The 22,702-nt window shown below is 48.0% G+C and overlaps 1 protein-coding gene across 3 annotated transcripts in view, besides 4 other annotated features; it reads right to left on the reverse strand.

Moving 5' to 3' along the window:
* The window catches only part of PLAAT3 (phospholipase A and acyltransferase 3), a 42,466-nt gene that overhangs the window by 16,754 nt on the left and 3,010 nt on the right, over positions 1–22,702 (reverse strand). For all 3 annotated transcript variants that reach the window (XM_011544741.2, NM_007069.3, NM_001128203.2), the window contains 1 exon segment: positions 6,846–6,948. In XM_011544741.2, coding sequence (XP_011543043.1) covers positions 6,846–6,948 — 103 coding nt within the window.
* Positions 10,188–10,689: an enhancer, noted in NCBI's record as "H3K27ac hESC enhancer chr11:63368875-63369376 (GRCh37/hg19 assembly coordinates)". NCBI's record gives its function as "activates a minimal SCP1, AML or CMV promoter by ChIP-STARR-seq in naive H9 embryonic stem cells {active_cell/tissue: H9 hESC(naive)}" and the evidence as "EXISTENCE:reporter gene assay evidence [ECO:0000049][PMID:30033119]".
* Positions 13,932–14,697: an enhancer, noted in NCBI's record as "H3K4me1 hESC enhancer chr11:63372619-63373384 (GRCh37/hg19 assembly coordinates)". NCBI's record gives its function as "activates a minimal SCP1, AML or CMV promoter by ChIP-STARR-seq in naive and primed H9 embryonic stem cells {active_cell/tissue: H9 hESC(naive and primed)}" and the evidence as "EXISTENCE:reporter gene assay evidence [ECO:0000049][PMID:30033119]".
* Positions 19,511–20,020: an enhancer, noted in NCBI's record as "NANOG-H3K4me1 hESC enhancer chr11:63378198-63378707 (GRCh37/hg19 assembly coordinates)". NCBI's record gives its function as "activates a minimal SCP1, AML or CMV promoter by ChIP-STARR-seq in primed H9 embryonic stem cells {active_cell/tissue: H9 hESC(primed)}" and the evidence as "EXISTENCE:reporter gene assay evidence [ECO:0000049][PMID:30033119]".
* Positions 20,774–21,274: an enhancer, noted in NCBI's record as "H3K4me1 hESC enhancer chr11:63379461-63379961 (GRCh37/hg19 assembly coordinates)". NCBI's record gives its function as "activates a minimal SCP1, AML or CMV promoter by ChIP-STARR-seq in naive H9 embryonic stem cells {active_cell/tissue: H9 hESC(naive)}" and the evidence as "EXISTENCE:reporter gene assay evidence [ECO:0000049][PMID:30033119]".

Consider the following 22,702-nt stretch of genomic DNA (forward strand, 5'->3'; position numbering starts at 1 on the left):
TACAAAAAATACAAAAACTAGCCGTGTATGGTGGTGTGCACCTGTGATCCCAGCTACTCAGGAGGCTGAGGCAGGAGGATCACTTGAGCCCTGGAGGTTTAGGTTGCAGTCAGCTGAGATTGCGCCGCTGCACTCCGACCTGGACAACAGAGTGAGATCTTGCCTTAGGAAAAAAAGAAAAAGAAAAAGTAGGTATGCACTCAAGGGATGGGCCTACGCACCCAGGGAGCATGTCAAAGGAGGTTCACTCTCACTCTCCTCAAACAGCCACTGTGACCCTGTCAGGGTCAAGGCCCCCAGGGTGCCACAGCAGCACCCTGTTAAACTGGGTAGGACCAGTCTTCAACAATGACATCCGTGTGACAGCAACAGCAGGAGAGGCCGATTAGATTTCAGGTCCTGCTCTTCTCCGCTTTCCAAAGACCAATAAACCTTTTCAGCCTGCATGCAATGCCTACATGCAATGCCAAGATATTAGAAATTTAGGGAATTCAGACTTGATAGGAAAAGGGCACGTGAAGCTTGGAAGATTCATTGAAGTAAATAAAAGAGAGGGTGCCTTATTGGAGCCCTGCGTTTGTCGGGAGGATGAGCTCCTGGGGCCCACCCAGCCTCAGCTCCCAGGCAAAGTGGGTGACAGCGCAGGGACTCGGAAGAGGCAAGCAAGTTGCCTAGAGCCCAAAGTTTAAGGAGGCACCAAATCTCAGGGCCATGCAAGTGCAGAGTCAACAACCAAGAGTGAGGACTTCCTTAAACTTATATCTAGATGCCACCCAGGACAGGGGTACCCTGTGCTCAAGCTGGCGGTGAGAAGCTCTGGGTTCGACCCCAGCACATCACCAACCAGCTGAGTGGTCTGGACCTGTCACTTCACTTTGCTCCAGAAATCCCCAAATACACACTAAAATTGATGCACAAATACATATCAACACAGTAATTTAAAGTTCCTTCTTTTTTTTTTCTTATTTTGAGACAGAGTCTCACTCCATTGCCCAGGCTGAAATGCAGTGGTGTGATCTTGGCTCGCTGCAACCTCCTCCTCCTCAGTTCAAGCGATTCTCATGCCTCAACCTCCTGAGTAGCTGGGACTACAGGTGTGCACCACCATGCCCAGCTAATTTTTATATTTTCAGTAGAGATGGGGTTTCACCATGTTGGCCAGGCTGGTCTCGAACTCAAGCCTGGTCCGAGCTCAAGCAATCCACCCACCTCGGCCTCCCAAAGTTCTGGGATTACAGGTGTGAGCCACCACACCTGGCCTAAAGTTCCTTCTTTTAAAAAGTGAGTCTACTGAAGAAAATATGAAGTGAACAATCACAGAAAGAGCATGTGGATGTGGCAATCCATCAGCGACTGAATTTTGGGATAGCTTGGACTGGGCAGTGCAGCATTGTGGTTAAGTGCACAGAATCAAGTCAGACTGCCTGGGTTTGGGTCCTGCCTGCACCCCTTACCATTATGCAACCTTGGGTAAGTTTCTTAACTTCTCTGAGTCCCCCATTCCTTGTAGGATAGAAACAAAAATAGTCCCTACTGCACAGGCAGCTGTGAGGATTAAAGGGGTTGGCCAGAAAACATGCTTTCACCAGTGTCTGGCACAGGACAGGCACTTCAGCAAGTTTATAAGCTTCCTTCCAGCTCTAATTTCTACAGTTTTCTCAGCAGCAGAAGGTCAGTCCTCCTTGCCTCATCTATCCCACATGACTCCTGTGAAACTCAAGTGAGATGCAGGTAGAAGCATCTTTTCCTTTGAAGGAGTATCACTGACCTGATGGTCTGTGACACACCTGTCCACCTGTCCACCCGGGTGCTTGTCATGCCTTCCCCAACCCTCTATCTACCACACACACCTGCTCAGTGCAGCCAATCAATACTGAGGCCCTACTGGGTGCCGGGCCTTGTCCAAGGTGCTGAAGTCAGTGACGTGATCTGGACAGCAGGCCTGCCCTCAAGCAATTCCCATGCTACTGAGAAGACGCTGACAATGAACAAATACACAAAATAAGATACTTGCAGGTACCAACAGACACTATGGAAAGACAGAGTGGAGTGACATGGCAAGGATGACCAGCAGAGGCTGCTGTTGCTCAGGCTGGGGAGGCCACCCCAAGGAAAAGGCATCTTTGCTGAAGCTTGAATGATGAAGCATCTAGAACAGAAGGAACAGCAGGAATGAAGTCTGCAGGGAGGAGAGAGCTTGGCATGCCAAGAGGCAGCAAGGAGGCCAACGTTGCTGGAGTCTAGAGACCCAGGAGGGGAGAAGAGAAAGACGAGGCCCAAAGTCACAGACCAGGCCAGACCAGGCCGGGCCCTACAGGCCACAGTGTAGACTTTGATGCTTTGTTTTGGTTTGGTTTTGGTTTGTTTTTTTGAGACGGGGTTTCACTCTGTCACCCAGGCTGGAGTGCAGTGGTGCAATCTTGGTTCACTGCAGCCTCCGCCTCCTGCTCGTGCCTCAGCCTCCGCCTCCTGCTCGTGCCTCAGCCTCCAAGTAGATAGGACTACAGTGGCGCGTCACCATGCCCGACTAATTTTTGTATTTTTAATAGAGACGGGGTTTCGCCATGTTGGCCAGGCTGGTCTCAAACTCCTGATCTCAGGTGATTCACCCACCTCAGCCTCCCAAAATACTGGGATTACAGGCATGAGCCACCGCACCTGGCCCTTGATTTACGCTTTCAAACAATCACACCACCTGCCCATGAATGAGGAACTGGCCGTGAGTGGCAAGAGGCAGAGAGACCAGCCAGAAGTGACACTGCCACCAGGCGAGGGAGGGTGGTTGCTCATACCAGGGCGCTGCAGTGGGGATGGTAAGAAGTGGTCAGAGCTGGGGTCTGTTTCAGAGATAAAGCCAACAGGATTCCCTGATAGATTAGACATGGGTTGGAAGGAACGGAGAATGACTCCTAGGCTTTAGGCCTGAGCAGCTGAATGGTGTCTTCCACTGGAGCCTCCCATTTGGGGCAGATCAAGTTCAAGATGCCAGGTAGACACCCAAGTGGAGTTACCAAGTAGTCAAGAGGTTATGCAAGTCTGAAGCTGAAGGGGGATGTAAATTGAGGGTTTGGGCTTAGGAGATATTGACAAATAGAAGGTATTGGAAGCTAAGGAATCCAATGAGGTCATCTGAGCTCGATTTAGGGAAATGAGAGAGGAGGAGGAGCCCACACAAGAGACCAAAAAAGAAGGGCCCAGAGGGAGAGGAAGAAAGTCAGGTGCCAGGTGGAGAGCAGGAAGGTCACTCACATCAAATGCTGCAGAGAAGCCAAGTCAGCTGTGATGGGACTTGGCTTTAAGCTTTGGCAAGATGTGGAAGCTTTTCCCTACCCTTGAGAACTGCTCTGTCAGGGGGGCAAAAAAAGAGAGTCTGAGAGCAAAACTCCATCTCAAAAAAAAGAAAAAAAGAAAAAGAAAAAAGAAAGTGTGGGTATAGGGGATGGAAGGCAGAATGGGAAGCGAGGAACCGGAGGTGGCCAGGCAGACAAAGCTGTAATGAGATCTGCTCTGTAGGGCGTTAAGCAGAGAAGGATGTGAGGCCGGGCGTTTGATCAACGGGATATATTACAGCTGTCTCTATGTCAATACGAATGATCCAGTTGAAAGGGAGAAGATGACAATACAGAAGGAGGTGGGGAATTTGAGGAGCAAAGTGCTTATGAAAGGAAGAGGAGGGGGTGGGGGTACATGGGTAAGGGGCTCAGGGTGGGGAAGATGACATCTACTCTGGTTACTACTGATAGGGTGAGGCCACTAGTTAGAATTAAAACGATATGCAAAAGACATGTTCAAGGGCCGTGCGCGGTGGCTCACGCCTGTAATCTCAGCACTTTGGGAGGCCGAGGCAGGCAGATCACTTGAGGTCAGGGGTTTGAGACCAGCCTGGCCAACATGGTGAAATCCCATCTCTACTAAAAATACAAAAATTAGCTGGGCATGGTGGTGCGTGCCTGTAATCCCAGCTACTCCAGAGGCTGAGGCAGGAGACTCGCTTAAAAGCAGGAGGTGGAGGTTGCAGTGAGCCAAGATCATGCCCCTGCACTCCAGCCTGGGCCACAGAGCAAGACTCCGTCTCGGAAAAAAAAAAAAAAAAAAAAGAGTGTCTATAACAGCTCTATTCATAGCAGTCAAAACCTGCAATGAGTCTGATGTCAGAAAAATGGATGCTAAATTGTAGCATATTCATATAACAGAAAATACACAGCAGTGAAAAAGAATTCCTGCTACTCACAGCAGCATGGATGACTCACATGGGCATGATGTTGGCTAAAAGAAGCCAGACACAAAAGAGCACGGGCCGTGTGATACCTCTTCCATGAAGTTCTAGAACAGGCAAAACTCATCTATGGCAGGAAAAGCTAGAATGATGGTTGCCTGGGCGAGGCGTGGGGAGGCATATTGTAGAAGCATGAGAGAGCCTTTCAGGGTAAGTGGCACAGTGGGAATGTTCTAGATGTGGATCTGGGGCACTGTTACATGGATGGTTTTTTTTAATTCACTGACTGTATACTTTACTATGCTTGTACATTTTACAATACTTATGTTATACCCCAGTTTAAGTTAAAGGCTTAAGAGAAGGGTGAGGAATTCTCACAAGAGTTCTCCAAGTTAAGTATTCATATCCTCAGTTTGCAAAAAAGGAAATCAAGGCTGAAGAATGGAAACTGGATTCATAACCAAGTCTCTCTGCCCAAACACCTGCACTCTTCCCAGGAGCTTTACGCTTAAGAGTTGAGTGTGTTGCGGCCGGGCACAGTGGCTCACGCCTGTAATCCCAGCACTGTGGGAGGCCAAGGAAGGCGGATCACGAGGTCAGGAGATCGAGACCATCCTGGCTAACACAGTGAAACCCCGTCTCTACTAAAAATACAAAAAATTAGCCAGGGGTGGTGCCAGGTGCCTGTAGTCCCAGCTACTCAGGAGCCTGAGGCAGGAGAACGGCGTGAACCCGGAGGCAGAGCTTGCAGTGAGCCGAGATCGCGCCACTACACTCCAGCCTGGGCGACAGAGCGAGACTCTGTCAAAAAAAAAAAAAAAAAAAAAAAAAAAGAGTTGAGTGTGTTGCATACAAAGTCACGGCATAAAAAACACATCAAAACAGAGCTTCGTCCTCAGATGCCACCTTGGTCCCTCTACAGCAGCGGTCCCCAACCTTTTTAGCACCAGGGACTGGTTTTGTGGAAGACAATTTTTCCATGGACTCGGCAGTGGGGAGGGATGGTTTCGGGATGATTCAAGCACATGACATTTATTGTGTACTTTATTTCTATTATTATTACATTGTAATATATAATGAAATAATCATACAACTGACGATAATGCAGAATCAGTAGGAGCCCTGAGCTTGTTTTCCTGCAACTAGATGGTCCCTTCTGGGGTGACGGGTGACAGTGACAGATCATCAGGCATTAGATTCTCATAAGGAGTGATATGGTTTGGCTCTGTATCCCCACCCAAATCTCATGTCAAACTGTAATCCCCATGTGTCAGGGGAGGGACTATATGGGAGGTGACTGAATCATGAGCGAGATTTCCCTCATGCTGTTCTCATGATAATGAGTGAGTTCTCACAAGATCTGATGGTTTAGAAGTGTGGCACTCCGGACATGGTGGCTCATGTCTGTAATCCCAGCACTTTGGGAGGCTGAGGCAGGTGGATCTCCCGAGGTCCAGAGTTCAAGACCAGCCTGACCAATATGATGAAAATCCATCTCTACTAAAAATAGAAAAATTAGTCGGGCGTGGTGGCAGGTGCCTGTAATCCCAGCTACTCGGGAGGCTGAAATAGGAGAATCACTTGAACCTGGGAGGTGGAGTTTCCAGTGAGCCGAGATTGTGCCATGGCACTCTACCCTGGGCAAGAAAAGCGAAACTCCATCTAAAAAAAAAAAAAGTGTGGCACTCCCCCGCCTCCTGCCACCATATAAGACCTGCCTTGCTTCCCCTTCACCTTCTGCCATGATGGTAAGTTTCCTGAGGCGTCCCCAGCCATGCAGAACTGTGAGTCAATTAAACCTCTTTCTGAAGGGCCGGGCGCGGTGGCTCACGCCTGCAATCCCAGCATTTTGGGAGGCTGAGGCAGGTGGATCACGAGGTCAGGAGATCGAGACCATCCTGGCTAACACGGTGAAACCCCGTCTCTACTAAAAATACAAAAAATTAGCCAGGTGTGGTGGCAGGCACCTGAGTAGTCCCAGCTACTCAGGAGGCTGAGGCAGGAGAATGGCGTAAACCCAGGAGGCGGAGCTTGCAGTAAGCCGAGATTGCGCCACTGCACTCCAGCCTGAGTGACAGAGCAAGACTCTGTCTCAAAAAAAACAAAAAACAAAACTCTTTTCTTTATAAATTACCCAGTCTCGGGTAGTTCTTTATAGCAGTGTGAAAACAGACTAATACAAGGAGTGTGCAACCTAGATCCCTTGCGTGTGCAGTTCACAGTAGGGTTCATGCTCCTATGAGAATCTAATGCCGCTGCTGATCTGACAGGAGGTGGAGCTCAGGCGGTAATACAAGCGATGGGGAGCAGCTGCAAATACAGATGAAGTTTCGCTCACTTGCCCACCACTCACCTCCTGCTCTGGAGCCCAGTTCCTACCCAGTACCAGTCCATGGCCTGGAGGTTGGGGACCCCTGCTCTAAAGAACCCCCTGAGGTTCCCAGGAGCAGACCTTGAAAACCAGTGCCCCACACCAAACTGCCCCATATCAAACTTCTTGTAACATTCAGAGACAACTGCCAGTTGGGAAGCAAGAAGAATGTTGGGGTCACCTGTTACCCACAGTTCCCCATCCCCTCTCTTCCCAGCCCCTGGGGCCCATCACAGTGGAGGTCCCATGTGTTCTTACTTGGAGGGGCCAGATGAACCACATATCCATCGCCAACATAGATGGCCCAGTGTCTGTAGAAAGGGCGAAAAATCTCAATCAGGTCTCCAGGCTTAGGCTCTGGCTGCAAAACCAAGAACAGGGCTGTTAGAGGGAGCATGAGATCGTGGAACCAGGACAGGGCTCAGTGAGGAAGGTGCAGCTGAGTGGTCCCCAGCTATCAGCTCAGCAGAACATATGTCCTGAGCCCTGCTCTGCCAGGTCCAATGCCAGTCCAACTTCACAAGCTTGTGACCCAGACCTGCAGGCACCATGGGCCTGCCCTTCTGTCAATACAAATTGCCAAGTGCAAACCTAAAAGGTTTCTTCATGAGCTGGAGTCTCTGCCTTATTATTTCTAGGAATATTATTTATTGAACTCTTACTCTGAGCCAAGCACTCCACTCTCCATGTTTTACAAGATGGCTCAATAAATCCACACAACCATCCAATGATGAACCCCATTTTATGGATGAGGAAATCAAGGCCTAGAAATGTAAAAGAATTTGTGCAAAGACATATAACTCATGAGTGACTTGGCCAGGACTGAACGCCCAGTTGGCTGATTCCCAGCCCAGTCTGACCATCAGGAAACACCACCAGTTATGTGACTAGAGCTGCCCACCTGGGGTCCATGCCAGAGGCTGCCAGATCTGGAGGGCATTCCACAGACACTCCCCAACACCTGGCCTGGGCCTAATGGAGAACTGGCATCAGTCTCCAGCAGTAATGTCCCCCGGCTGCTCAGCCTGATGCTAAGGTGTGCATGTTCACATTGAGTGAGTATGTGTGTGAGGGTGGATGCATGAGTGTGAGACTACGTGTGAGAGTGAGTGTGCGTATGTGAGAAGGGGAAGGTAGGGAGGGTGCAGTAAATGCTCTCACCCTGTTAGGGGAGCATGGGGCAGAGTTTGAGAAAACTTCAGAGAGGTTCAAGATCCCATCCATTCAACATTATCCACGTCCATTCAGCATTAACCACATCCCAGAATCAGACCCTGCACTGAGTGCTGGGGGAGGGGAAGTTCCGACTCTCACTAGAATCAGGGGTAAAGAACTTCTCCAGGCCAACCTTTAAACCCCTTTAATGAGCAAAGAAATCAACCTTTCAGAACACCTAGAGACAGAGCCCATCAGAGGCTGGTTCTGGCCCCTTCATCCTTTGCTGGAGTCTTCAGCCACAGTCAGGGCTAAACTGCCCTCAGCACAGTGAAGATATGGGGTGAGGACTCCGGCTTGCTTGCACCTTGAGTCAGATCCATAGGGGTTTTCCCACATCTCGCCAGCAAGCTTGGTGGCCCTACCAGAGACATTCCATCAAGGATGAGGCATGGGGAGGACTCATCCTCGGCTGACCTCCCCTGGGCGCAAATGATGGGCAGTGGTTAACAGCCAATCACAACTCTACAACGCCTATGAAGGCGGGTCAAAGGCCAGTTTGCTTATTATTTCACAGAAACATTAAAACTACAAACAGGTAGCATGTGTGGCAGGGAATTTTACAGATAAATCATGTTCTTTTGTTGCAGTAAATATAATTTCTTTTCCAAAATAGAGGGCACTCAGTTCTTACTGAGAACCTATTTCAGAACAATGGACAATGGTCACAATTTATGAATCCCATTGTTTTCCAGGAAAAAAAAAAGAGTATTAATTGTTTGGTCAGAGTTTGGGGATTCAAGAATCCCCAAAAAGGAATTTAAACAGGGATCTCCTCAAACAGACAAGGACATAAAGACTGGGTGGGTACCCATCCCTGAGGGAGGCTGCAGGTTGGAAAGAGATGGTGTGGACATCAGTAAGACCATGTTGAGTAATAAGCAGCTGGCAGTGTGCAGAGCCAAAGAGCTCACCTGCTCCACATAAACACCAATGAGAGGAGCCCTCACATAGAACATGCTGCCTTTATTTTTTCTTTTTAAGACAGGATCTCACTCTGTTGCCCAGGCTGGAGTGTAGTGGCATGATCGTGGCTCACTGCAGCCTCAACCTCCCCAGGCTCAGGTCATCTTCCCACCTCAGCCTCCCAAATAGTTGGGAGCACAGGTGCACACCACCATGCCTGGCTAATTTTTACATATTTTTAGTAAACACAGGGTTTTGCCTTGTTGCCCAGCTGGTGTCAAACTCCTGGGCTCAAGGGAACCTCCCACTTCGGCCTCCCAAAGTGCTGGGATTACAGGCACGTGCCATCGCGCCCAGCCCCATGCTGCATTTTTTAAAACAGAAGTTATTACGATGACAAAAAATAATTTAAAATATTATAATGGTTCAGACAGAAAAAGTATTCCGTTATCTAAAAAGGAAGAGTGAAAAAGTCATACCCAAAAAGCCACATACTGTATGATTCCATCTATATGTCATTCCAGAGCAGGCATAACTACAGCACGGAAAAGTGATCTGTGATTGTCACAGGGGTTGAGGAGAGGGACTGACTAGCAAGAGGCGTGAGGGAATTTCAGGGGTAAAATTTCTATACTCTTCTACATCTTCATGGTTTTTTTGTTTTTTTTGTTTTGTTTTGTTTTGTTTTGTTTTGTTTGAGACAGACTCTCGCTCTGTCTCCCAGGCTGGAGTGCAGTGGTGCGATCTCGGCTCACTGCAACCTCCACCTCCCGGGTTCAAGCGATTCTCCTGCCTCAGCCTCCCAAGCAGCTGGGACTACAGGCGTATGCCACCACGCCTGGCTAATTTTTTGTATTTTTAGTAGAGATGGGGTTTCACCATGTTGGCCAGGCTGGTCTTGAACTCCCAACCTCAGGTGATCCACCCGTCTCAGCCTCCCAAAGTTCTGGGATTACAGGCGTGAGCCACCACGCCCGGCCTACTCTTCTACATCCTGAATGTGGCAACCATTCTGCAATTACATGTGTTTATTAAGACTCACAGAAGTAAACACTGAAAGGGTAAGTTATAACTTAATTTTTTTTAAGAAACTAAATTTTAAAAATAAATAAAAATTAAACAAAAAAAAAAATTTTTTTTTTTTTTTTTGAGGCAGAGTCTCTCTCTGTCACCCAGGCTGGAGTACAGTGGCACGATCTCGGCTCACTGCAAGCTCCGCTTCCCGGGTTCATGTCATTCTCCCACCTCAGCCTCCCAAGTAGCTGGGACTACAGGCGCCTGCCACCACATCCGGCTATTTTTTTGTATTTTTAGTAGAGATGGGGTTTCACCATGTTAGCCATGATGGTCGCGATCTCCTGACCTTGTGATCCGCCAGCCTGGGTGACAGAGTGAGACTCCATCTCAAAAAATAATAATAATAAATAAATTTTAAATATTTATTTACAGTTTAGAAGGGAAAAAAGCTGTAATTTTTTTTTTTTTTTGACATTCAGCCAATCTGCCTATTCTTTGTAAGGGCAAGAGATACATATTCCCAAGCTCAACACATAATTACGCTCAAGCTCAACACATAATCTCACTCAAGACAACTTCTTTTTGAAAATGAAGTAAAAGACAGTGGGCTCACCTATGGAGCCCTACACACTAGTTAGGAGCAAGGGTTTGATGGTCACTTGGCAAGTTGGATATCTTTAAAAGACACTGCGAAGTGGAAAAATGGGGATGAGCTCTGTAACAAAATGCCACTTATATAAATTAAAGATACATGGCCGGATGCAGTGGCTCACGCCTGTAATCCCAACACTTTGGGAGGCCAAGGTGGGCGGATCACCCGAGGTCAGGAGTTCAAGACCAGGCTGGCCAACATGGTGAAGCCCTGCCTCTACCAAAAATAAAAAAAATTAGCCAGACGTGGTGGCGTACGCCAGTAATCCCAGCTACTCGAGAGGCTGAGGCTGGAGAATTGCTTGAACCCAGGAGGTGGTGGGGGTTGCAGTGAGCAGAGATTGCACCATTGCATTCCAGCCTGGGTGACAAGAGCGAAACTCTGTCTCAAAAAAAAAAAAAAAAACAAAAGGAGGCCAGGCACAGTGGCTCATACCTGTAATCTCAGCACTTTGGGAGGCCGAGGCAGGCAGATCACGTGAAGTCAGAAGTTTGAGACGAGCCTGGCCAATATGGTGAAACCCCCCGTCTCTACTAAAAATACAAAAATTAGCCAGGCGTGGTGGTGCACATCTGTAATACCAGCTACTTGGGAGGCTGAGGCAGGAGAATCACTTGAACCCAGGAGGCGGAGGTTGCAGTGAGCCAAGATCGCACCACTGCCCTCCAGCCTGGGTGACAGTGAAACTGTCTCAAAAAAAAAAAAAATGATGATTAAAGGGAACAAATAAACACAGAAGACAGGGGAGTCTTGTAGGGACCAGCAAGGACAGGGCGCTATGAAATGAAGATATGAATAATTCACCTCTACCACTAAGATCCACCTAGAAAAACAAGTACTTATCATTATACACGTCACCCATCTCAGCTGAATCAAAACTAAGAATCCAAAAACTCATGTTCTAAATTTAGAAGTATGAAAACTGCAGTTCATGGGCCAAATTTGGACCTCTGCCTGCAAGAGGTCTGCCTGCAAGCTAAGAATGGTTTGTACTTTTTTTTTTTTAATGCTTGGGGGAAAAGTCAAAGGAGGAATAGTATTTTGTGACACATGAAAATTATATGAAATTCAAATTTCAGTGTCCATAATGCTTTAGTGGAACATCGCCAGGCTCATACATTTACATTGTGTCTACCCTGGCTCCTCTCTACAACAGCAGGGTTGAATAGTTGTGACAGAGACCATATAGCCTGCAAGATCTAAAATGCTTACTATGATGGCCAGGCGCAGCGGCTCATGCCTGTAATCCCAGAACTTTGGGAGGCCAAGGCAGGCAGATCACTTGAGGTCAGGAGTTCGAGATCAGCCTGGCCAACTTGGTGAAACACTGTCTCTACTAAAAATACAAAAATTAGCCACGCCTGTTGGCAGGCTCCCGTAGTCCCAGCTACTCAGGAGGCTGAGGCAGGGAGAATCGCTTGAACCCAGAGGCGGAGGTTGCAGTGAGCTGAGATCACGCCATTGCACTCCAGCCTGGGCAACAGAGCAAGACTCTATCTCAAAAAATAAATAAAATAATAAAATGTTTACTATCTGTCCATTTACAGGAAAAGTTTGCCAACCCCTATTGTAAAAGAACCTACATTGATTCCAGGAATGCTACTGCACTGCCTTGTCAGGTAGTTCTCTGTTCCAGGATCAAGGTCAGGGCCAGCAGAGTGCCTGAGAAGAGAACTGCCTCCTCCATGGCAAAGTTCAGGAGAACCCCAGCCCACACAGTGACCAAGGCTCTCCCACACAGCTCACGCAACAACAATGGCAGAGTTGAGACTCTGCACCCACGGGATTTCAGAACAAAAAGCCTTTATCTTTCCACAAAAGCAGTGTTACCAAGAGCTGCATAGCAACCATTTTCCTTAGCAAGCAAACTGAGGAGCAATTTCTGGTCTCTGAAATTCACATTGAAAAAAACAGCTTGGATGCCGGGCTTAATACCCAGGTAATGGGGTTGATCTGTGCAGCAAACCACCATGGCACACTTTTACCTTTGTGACAAACCTGCACATCCTGCACATGTACCCTGGAACTTAAAATAAAAGTTGAAGGAAAAAAAAGAAAAGAAAAAAAAACCCTAACAACCATCAAAAAGGGCTAGTTAAGTAAATTATCCTACACACACACACACACACACACACACACACACACACACACACACACACACAGACAGAGATATTAGAGAGAGTAAGGTGAATTTACATGAGCAGGCATGGAAATATTAATTGAGAAAAGCAAGTTGAAAGACATTATTATTCCATTGTTGCTTAAAATACATTTTTAGGCCGGGCACAGTGGCTCATGCCTGTAATCCCAGCACTTTGGGAGGCCAAGGTGGGTGGATCACTTGGGGTTAGGAGTTTGAGACCAGCCTGGCCAACATGGCAAAACCCTGTCTGTACTGAAAATACAAAAATTAGCTGGGCATAGTGGCACATGCCTGGAGTCCCAGCCACTCGAGAAGCTGAGGCAAGAGAATCACTTGAACCTGGGAGGTGGAGGTTGCAGTGAGCTGAGATCACGCCACTGCACTCCAGCCTTTTTCAATAATATATATACATATAATAGACTTTTTTATACATTTATACAGAAAACGTATTATACACTACATATGAGCTAAGGAAAATAACCAAGCTGTTATATATTACATACGCAACAGTGCGTGGTTGGGATTCAGAACTTTTATATTTCATGTTATATTATTTTATTGTTTGAATTTTATTAATATGAATTACTTTGACAATAAAAATGTTAAAAAGTATTTAAAGGGAAAAAATACTCATGTTGATGGACTTGCAGTTTTTAAGTTGGGAAATGTAGATATTGTCTGTTGCCAAACCTCATGAAACTGCCTCTCAATTGAAGGTATTAATTTTCTTTTTAATTATATTCTAGGCCGGGCGCGGGGGCTCACACCTGTAATCCCAGCACTTTGGGAGGCCAAGGAAGGTGGATCACTTGAAGTCAGGAGTTTGAGACCAGCCTGGCCAACATGGTGAAACCCTGTCTCTACAAAAAATACAAAAATTAGCCAGGCATGGTGGTACATGCCTGTAGTCCCAGCTACTCAGGAGGCTGAGGCTGGAGAATCGCTTGAACCTGAGAAGTGGAGCTTGCAGTGAGCCCAGATGATGCCATTGCACTCCAATCTAGGCGACAGAGCAAGACTGCCTCAAAAAAAAAAAAGTATTTTCTAGTTTTCCAAAATGTTTAAATAAGCATGTGTTCATTTTAGAACCAGAAATTGAGCTAAGACTTGACAGAATCAGTGGTAATCCATACAATCACTATCATGTAAAAATAGCAAAACAGACACAAGCAAAAAGACTAGAAAGCTCTATAACAATATCCTAATGGACATTCCCTCTGGTTTCTGGGTGCTGGGGCTAAGCGTGGTTTTTGTGATAATTTTTGCTTCCTTCTATTTTTCTATATATTCCAGGTCTTCTGCAATGAGTATCTTTTAAGTTTACAGCATGCTTCTCAACATTTTATCACGAAAAATTTTCAAACGTTCAAAATTGAGGCCGGGCGCAGTGGCTCACGCCTTGTAATCCTAGCACTTTGGGAAGCCAAGGTGGGTGGATCACCTGAGGTCAAGAGTGCGAGACCAGCCTGGCCAACATGGTGAAACTCCATCTCTATTAAAAATACAAAAAAAATGAGCTGGGCATGGTGGAGCACGCCTGTAATCTCAGCTACTCGGGAGGCTGAGGCAAGAGAATCGCTTAAACTCAGGAGGCAGAGGTTGCAGTGAGCCAAGATCACGCCATTGTACTCCAGCCTGGGCGACAAGAGCGAGACTGTCTCAAAAAACAAAACAAAACAAAGTTAAAGGAAGTTTTTTAATGAACGTCTGTATACCTGCCACACAGATTGTGCAATTATGTGACTGTATTTGCTTCATCACAAACATGTCCATCTATTCATTCCCTCTGTCCAGTGTCTTTTTTGTTCTTTGTTTTTGTTTTTGTTTTTGTTTTTGAGACGGAGTCTCGCACTGTCGCCCAGGCTGGAGTGCAGTGGCGCGATCTCGGCTCCCTGCAAGCTCCGCCTCCCGGGTTCACGCCATTCTCCTGCCTCAGCCTCCCGAGTAGCTGGGACTACAGGCGCCCGCCACCATGCCGGGCTAATTTTTTGTATTTTTAGTAGAGACAGCGTTTCACCATGTTAGCCAGGATGGTCTCGATCTCCTGACCTCGTGATCCACCCGCCTCAGACTCCCAAGGTGCTAAGATTACAGACATGAGCCACCGCGCCTGGCCCTTTGTTTGTTTGTTTGTTTAATTTAAGAACTAACGCACTGAGGGAGTCCCAAGCGATGTCAGGGCAATGACAACACAGCCGACCCGCGCTCTGTGCTCAAGTTCACGGGGTTCCTGACTCCAAGCCTGCAGTCTTGATCCGCAGCTGTGGTTCTCAGACCTGAGCCTGCACCAATTACAGAAGAGGGGGTTGCTGACATGCAGGATCACTATAGCTTTTTGGCAATTCCCCTCTTCCGCCATCAAGAGCGCGGTGTAAGCGGCCAACGACACCCCTGGAGAACCCCTTCACCTTGGGAGGATGCCCACCTCTGCTTTGGAGGGCCTAGAAACCCATACACTGGCTGAGCTGTGCGCCCGGCACCAATCTAGGCACCTGGGCTCTGTGATCAGGGCGTGGAGCTTTTTGTTCAGTAACAGGAGACAAAAGGTTTTTAAAAAAATACCTTAGTAGGCCGGCGCGGTGGCTCACGCCTGTAATCCCAGCACGCTGGGAGGCCGAGGCGGGTGGATCACCTGTCAGGAGTTCAAGACCAGCCTCGCCAACATGGCAAAACCCCGTCTCTACTATAAAACACACACACACACACACACACACACACACACACACACCTTAGTAAATAAGTAAATAATCTAGAATATGAGAAGAGATCCGAAACCAACAGAAAGAAACAAAAAGCAGAGCGGAGCAGGGTCGGGAGCTGAGCGCTGGTGGGGTGGGGGCACGGGGTGCAATAGGAATTAGAGAGTCAGGGAGACTCCCAGAGCAGCGAGCTGGAGGCGGCCTCGCCTGGAGGCCGGAGATGAGCCTTGCAGATGGCTAACACCTCCGGCAGGGGGAGCAGCCGAGCAAAGGCCCCAGCGGGGCGCGTGTCTGAGCAACAGCAAGGAGGCCAACGAGGCCGGAGTAGGCGTGCGGGGAGGGCAGAGGGTGGGAAGCGGGGGTAGAACGGAGGGTCCAAGAAAAGCAGCCGGTCCGGAAGGCAACGCAGCACCTGACAGCGCTACACCTTTGCCTCTGTCACTGGCAGGGGCCACTGCCAAGTTTAGAACCCAGGAGACTCAGGATCCAACTTGGGTTTTAAAAGGGTCCCTCTGGCTGCTCCGTTGAGAAGAGATGAGATGTAGGGTGCAAGGAGGAGGCGGGAGCCTGCTAGGAGGCAACTGCAGAGAGGGGGGATCTGGGCATGAGTAGTAATGGATGCTGGATCTCCTTTGAAGCTGCAGCCCACCGACTGTGCTGATGGAATGAGGTGGGGTGTGAAGGAAAGAGGAGTCAGATGACTCCAAGGTGTCTGGACAGAGCAACTGGGAGGCGGGATGGGGCTGTTTAGAGACAGAGTAGGCTGGGGGAGAACCAGGCACTCACGCTGGGCAGCGGGTATCCCAACGAGAGGCGGGGACACAGCGCACACATCAGTATGGAGCTAGGGGTCATGGTTTAGAATGAGGATCATCCGTGTTCCTTATGAGATCAGCTCCTCCTGAGAGTTGGAGGCAAAAGCCTGGCTGAAATGTGTTTGAGAGAATGGGGACACAGTGGCATGTGCCTGTAGTCCCAGCTACTCAGGAGGCTGAGGCTGGAGGATCACTTGAGCCAAGAGTTCAAGGCCAGCCTGGGAAACATGTGAGACCCCATCTCTAAAATTTAAAAAATAATAATAATAATAATAAAGAAAAGAGAGAGAATGGGAGAAGATGAACTGGAGGTGATGTCAAAGAGAGCACCTGAGCACCTGAGATTTTTGTTTCGGTCTTGAAAGATGAGGGAAACTTGTATGTGGTAGAGACATAATTTAAACCCAGATCTAAGGACATCCAAATCCTACACACCGTGCTGCAATCATAGAAGCTGGTGGGGAGGAAGTAGCCTTTATGGAGATGTACGGAGAGAGGCAAGCAGGAGATAAGGAGGAGGCGGAAGGAGAGGGCAGGCAGGGCAGGGGCTTCCACTGTGGTGAGTGGGAATCTCAAGGTGCTTTTGGGGTTTGGTCAGAAGCAGGGTTCTTGGGGTGGAGCCCAAGCCTGGAATTTTTTTTAAAGTTCCCAGGTGGGCCGGGCACAGTGGCTCACGCCTGTAATCCCAGCACTTTGGGAGGCCGAGGCAGGCAGATCACGAGGTCAGGAGATCGAGACCATCCTGGCTAACACAGTGAAACCCCGTCTCTACTAAAAATATAAAAAATTAGGCGTAGTGGCACGTGCCTGTAGTCCCAGCTACTCGGGAGGCTGAGGCAGGAGAATTGCTTGAACCCGGGAGGCAGAGGTCGCAGTGAGCCGAGATCGTGCCACTGCACTCCAGCCTGGGCGACAGAGCAAGACTCCATCTCAAATTAATTAATTAATTAATTAAAACAAAGTTCCCAGGTGATTCTACTGTGTAGCCTGGAGCAAGGCCACAGGAGAAGGGTTGTCTAAAAGGGAGAGGTGGGGAGACTGAAGAGTTGGGTTAAGATGGCAGTCATGCCTCATTTCACAGGTGGGGAAACTGGAGCTAAGGGAGGTAACATCACCTGCCCAGGGCAGCCTGAAAGTGGCAACCAGCCTCTTCCTCACCCCTGCAAAGAAAAAGAAGACAGCCCCACCCTACAGCGGACTTTACCTCTCTCCAATCAAGGTCCCTCCAGATGCACCCATGCAACTCTGACTCAGTCCAAGACCCCCGGCTCTGGCACTGTGCGGGACCAGGGAGGACAGTGAGGATGCTTTCAGAATACTTTTTAACCCAAGGGTTGAAACAAAACAAAAAGAATGTTTTTCTTTCACTCAAGGCTATGCAGGAAGCATTCCAATCCACCTACGTGCCATTTGTCTCATCAGAGTTTGAGGGTTTGGGGTTGTTTATGACATATTTCAGGACTACAAAAAATACAGAAAGTGGGATAAAGAGCATGAGTGCTCTGTTTTTAAATCAAGATGAATTTAATTTTCAGAAACAGCATAGCGATTACACACTTGGGGGCCCTGTGTTCAAATCTGAGCTCTACTACTTACTAACTATATAGTCTTGGCCAAGTTACCTAATTACTCCTAACCTCAGTTTCCTCAGCTGCAAAATGGGGATAGGTACAGCACCTGATTTGTGGGATTATCCTGAGGATGAACAGAGTTAATATCTAAAAAACACTCAGTAAATAGGGCTTGATAACGTAGGAGCCATTCACTAACTGGCAGCTTTTACTGCCACCGTTCCCCAGGATGTTGTCATTATTTTTGATTTGGAAAGGTCACAGACCGCTCTCGGACCAGGTGGAGACACTGTGGAGGCTGTGAAACCCAGAATGAAACGAATTCTCCATGTCCCAAAACCACATTCTGTGGTGAGTGTGGAAACCCCTAAACTCACCCCCTTCACTTCTGACGCCCTGGGGGGAAAGCCTGTGATAAATGGAAAGGCTAAAGTCCAAGGTGGGTACTGAGAAAAGACTTCCCAGTTGGGAGTTTTGGTGCCAAGGTTTTAGGAAAAGAAAAACCCATAAGAAGCTAGGTCTCTATTTTCTGAGGCTGCATTCCCAGAAACAGGGCCCAGCCCACCTCCGGGGGCCTCAACTGAGCCCCTCTGTACTCTATTGCTGTGTGATCTCCAAGGATCACTTCACCTCTCTGAACTTCTCTGGTAAACAGGGCTAAGACCCATCTGGCAGGGTTTGTGTAAAGAATCATTGAAATAATGGAAGTGAAAGCTGTAAAAGCACTTATGCCTACGAGAGGGTTGAGACCCCATGCCGCACGCAGGCTGGGTGAGGACAGGGAGGAGAAGGAGGCCTGGCTGCCCAGATTCCCAGCCTCGGGCAGAGAGAGAAGGAGGAGGAGGGATGAACAGCAGCTGGCCTGACACATTACACTTTCCCTTATTGCCACCCTGTGCCCAGGCCTCTTAGCAAGTGGGGGAAAGATACTGGCAGCTCTGGCAGGCACCAGGCCCAGCCTCAGCAGCCCAAAGGTCATAAACATCCTGGAAAAGGAAGCAAAACTCATCCACCCTCCCAGACTTTGACCACCAGGCCCAGGCCTATTCTCCTACAGGGCAAACCTCACCTTCTGGTGAGTCAGAACTGCCCCTCTACTCACCCCCACCACTACCACCAAGCACTACTGGGGGTTTTCACCTGTTACCTGGAATCCTTATAAGAGCCCCATGTTACCAATCGGGAAACTGAGCTCAGAGATGGGAATTAACTTCCCTAAGGTCTCGGAGCTCCCCGAAAAGTAGCACCAGGATTCCGCAGCAGATCTGCCTGAGCTTAAAGGTGAGGTTCTTCCCACCACACCAAGTAATTCACTCCAAGGTACTGACGTTCAACAACTGTGCTCCCATGGCAAAACTGGCCTCTGCCTCACCGCACTCTCGGCCTGAAATGCCCTTTTGCCGTTCACCTGGAAGATTCCTACTCATCCCTCGAGATGGGCTCAACATGTCCACTCCTCAATGCATCCCCTGATGCCTCAGCAAAGCGAGTTGCTGCTGCCTCCACAGCCAAGCCATAGCCCTATTATTGGATGATTCATTGTTAAGCCTAGCCTGTGGGAAGAAGCGATCAATTTCCTTGCCCAGCCTGCCAGCATTCCAAGGACCAGAATTCCGTCTAATTCACCATTATCCAGCCTGGCACTGACAATGTTCTCAGCAGAGGTGTATGGTGGAGGGATGCACGGCTTCCTCCTCCAGCCCCTCTCAGCCCGTGGCTGAATAGGGATGAAACCCTGGAAGGCCTGAAGCCCCAACTGCTATTTAAGAAGGGTCCTCTTCTCTTCTTCTCTCCCCTCCCCTTTGCACCTTAACTAGTTCCACACAGATCCATCAGAAAATCAAGCAAACTCAGATCACAGAGCAGTCAATGACGGAGTCTAGACTCAGAGAACAGGGAAGGCCTATCAATTTCCTCATATTATGGAGCCTCAGTTTCACTTTGGGGTTTCATTTCCTTGGCAGCAGCTGCTCAACAAGCCACAGATTCAAGGATGGCGCAGGTGGAGGAGGGAAGGGAAAGGCTCCCCGCCCACTCATTCTAGCAAATTTGGAACACAGAGAGGAGAGAAATAATCACAGCAGGAGGCATCACAGGCTGAACTAAAGGGCTCAGGAAACTGTGGACACACCCTCTTCGATCCCCCAGGAGGCTCCTGGGGGCGGCTACAACAACTAACATAAAAGCCGCAAAAGCCCACAGTGGGGAGGCAGGATGTCCTTCCCCACTGTAGACAAATAGGAGCAAGATTGCTGTAGAGGATAGTTTTGTTTGGAGTTTTTTGTTTTATTGTGTTTTGTTTTTTTCTGCAGGCTCTCGCTCTGTCACCCAGGCTGGAGTGCACTGGCGCAATCTCGGCTCACTGCAGCCTCGACCTCCCGGGCTCAAGTGATCTACCACCTTGGCCTCTCGAAGTGCTGCAATTACAGACATGAACCACACGTCTGGCCCAAAGGGAATTTTAAAACAATAATAAAACCTATCAAAAGTCGGTCTGCCTTTTATTACTACCATGTGCTGGCCATTTTAAACAATGTCAGTGATAAAATACCACTCCCCCAAAAAATGTCTTATTCACCTAAATTCTAATTGCTGCAGTTACCATTGAGATTTAATCATATACATGTGAGCCACCAATTAGCACATTTTTATTTCTTATCCTTCTAAAACTTTTGTCTTCTACAAGTTAAATCAGAGAACACGCAGTTATCAGTTCCTGAAACACACAGACTCAGCCATAAGTTCTGTTTCAACAATCAGTTCCTAAAGGCTCAGAATAATTTGAACTCCATTTATACAGTTTATGTAGCCAATCTCTGTGGTCCTGCATTTTCCTGTGTTTAAACATAAAACAGCCTGTCTCCCAGTGCCAAAAGAAACTAAAAGAATGATGTTTGAAAGCCTGGGTGATTTTCATCATTTCTAAAGCAATGGATTAAATAAATGTCAAGGTTCACTATCACTCAGCCATTTTCTCTGATTTTTGCAGAAGAAAAACTTGGGGAATTTTGCCAAATATAATTGAAATGTATGATGGGCCGGGCGCGGTGGCTCACGCCTGTAATCCCAGCACTTTGGGAGGCCGAGGCGGGCACATCACCTGAGGTCAGGGGTTCGAGACCAACCTGACCAACATGGAGAAACCCTGTCTCTACTAAAAATACAAAATTAGCCAGGCGCGGTGGCGCATGCCTGTAATCCCAGCTACTTGGGAGGCTGAAGCAGGAGACTCGCTTGAACCCAGGAGGCGGAGGTTGCAGCGAGCCGAGATCACGCCATTGCACTCCAGCCTGGACAACAAGAGTGAAACTCCATCTCAAAAAAAAAAAGTATGATGAACTGTCTGGTGAAGATTTTGTTGTTGTTTTGTTTTTAGAGATGGGGTCTTGCTATATTACCCAGGGTAGTTTCAAACTCCTAGGCTCAAGTGATCCTCCCACCTTGGCCTCCCCAAGTGCTGGAATTACAGTAATGAATCACTGCACCCAGCCTGTCTTAGTGAAAATGTCTCTAAAAAGGAGATATTTAAGCTGTAGAACTGATTAAAGAAAAAAAGATTTAGGCAGTATTGCAATGTCTGGAATTTATTATGAAATGGGATTTTTATAAATCTCTGCCAAACTAATCCTGATGGTTAAGGCTTTTCCTTTGTCTCTCTAGTTTTATATGAAAGCAGCTTTTGAAATTAAAATTAATAAAAAGTGTTCTTCAATCAACTGGGAGCAAAGATGGACTAGTAGATATAGCTCCCCTGAATACTGACCATGAATATGCAAAGATTGATTTTGACAATGTCATGGACAACTTTTCAGAAGTTTCAAAAACAGAAGTTGTAGTGTTACTATTATTCATCTCTGATACCATCCTACATCTAAGTTTTTCCTTTTTTCAAAAATACATTAATGTGATTAAAACCTACTAATCCATTTTTTTTCCTGCTTTTGCACTCACATTTACTTTTTCATTTTTAATTTTTTTACTCTCATGATTACATATATAAGGTTTTTACTGTCATGATTACATATACGAGGTTCAATAAAAGAAAATGCTCACTGTGTTTCTTTCTGGACATTATTACTATTCATTGCATGATTATTGCTAAAAATAATGTTATCAGATAGAGAATGATATTAAAAAGTGACCACTCCAGGTGTCAAACAAACATGCCAGATACACCCTGACACCAGGCAAAACTCTTTATATGGACTGAGATAATAACAACAGTGAATTATGGTTGAGCACTCAAAATGTGTGCTAGGCATTGTTCTGGGCACTTTCTGAGTATTAAGTGATATAATCTTCACTCTGCGGCAGGGCTCGGTGGCTCACGCCTGTAATCCCAGCACTTTGCGAGACCGAGGCGGGCGGAGCACGAGGTCAGGAAGTCGAGACCATCCTGGCTAACACGGTGAAACCCCGTCTCCACTAAAAATACAAAAAATTAGCCAGGCGTAGTGGCGGGCGCCTGTACTCCCAGCTACTCGGTAGGCTGAGGCAGGAGAATCGCTTGAACCCGAGAGGCGGAGGTCGCAGTGAGCCGAGATCATGCCACTGCACTCCAGCCTGGGTGACAGAGCGAGACTCCGTCTCAAAAAATAAAAATAAAAATAAAAATAAATAAATAAAACAAAACCTTCACTCTGGGAAACAGTGGATTTGAACTTGATGAGAGTCTCACAACCAGATGCTCAACACTAGGAGGGTCCACCTCCAAATCCCATCCTCTGAATCCCTCTGCTGCGGTCCGGCCAGGCGGAAGGGGGGCAGTCGCCAAGCACAGTTAACGCTGGGACTCCGCTGGCAGGGCTGGTCATGGGATGAGTCAGCTGACATAGCCCCCAAGGCCTGTCCCGCTGTCCGGGTGTGGCTCCGGAGGGCAGCGCCAGATTTCTGCGGACAGACCTGCCCTGGCCACCTCCCTCCTGAGGGTCCCGCCTTCCGCTGGGCGCGTTTCAGGCAGGGCGCCCCCACACCGGCCCCCGGAAGGACGCGCCGAGACAACTCCCAACAGGTGCGCGCCGACCCGCAGCTGACACCGATGCCTCGCAGCTGACAGAGGTGCGGGCCCCACATCCTCGAGGCTCCTCTCTCGGAAGC

This window comes from Homo sapiens, chromosome 11 (genome assembly GCF_000001405.40).
Source record: "Homo sapiens chromosome 11, GRCh38.p14 Primary Assembly".
Taxonomy (NCBI): domain Eukaryota; kingdom Metazoa; phylum Chordata; class Mammalia; order Primates; family Hominidae; genus Homo; species Homo sapiens.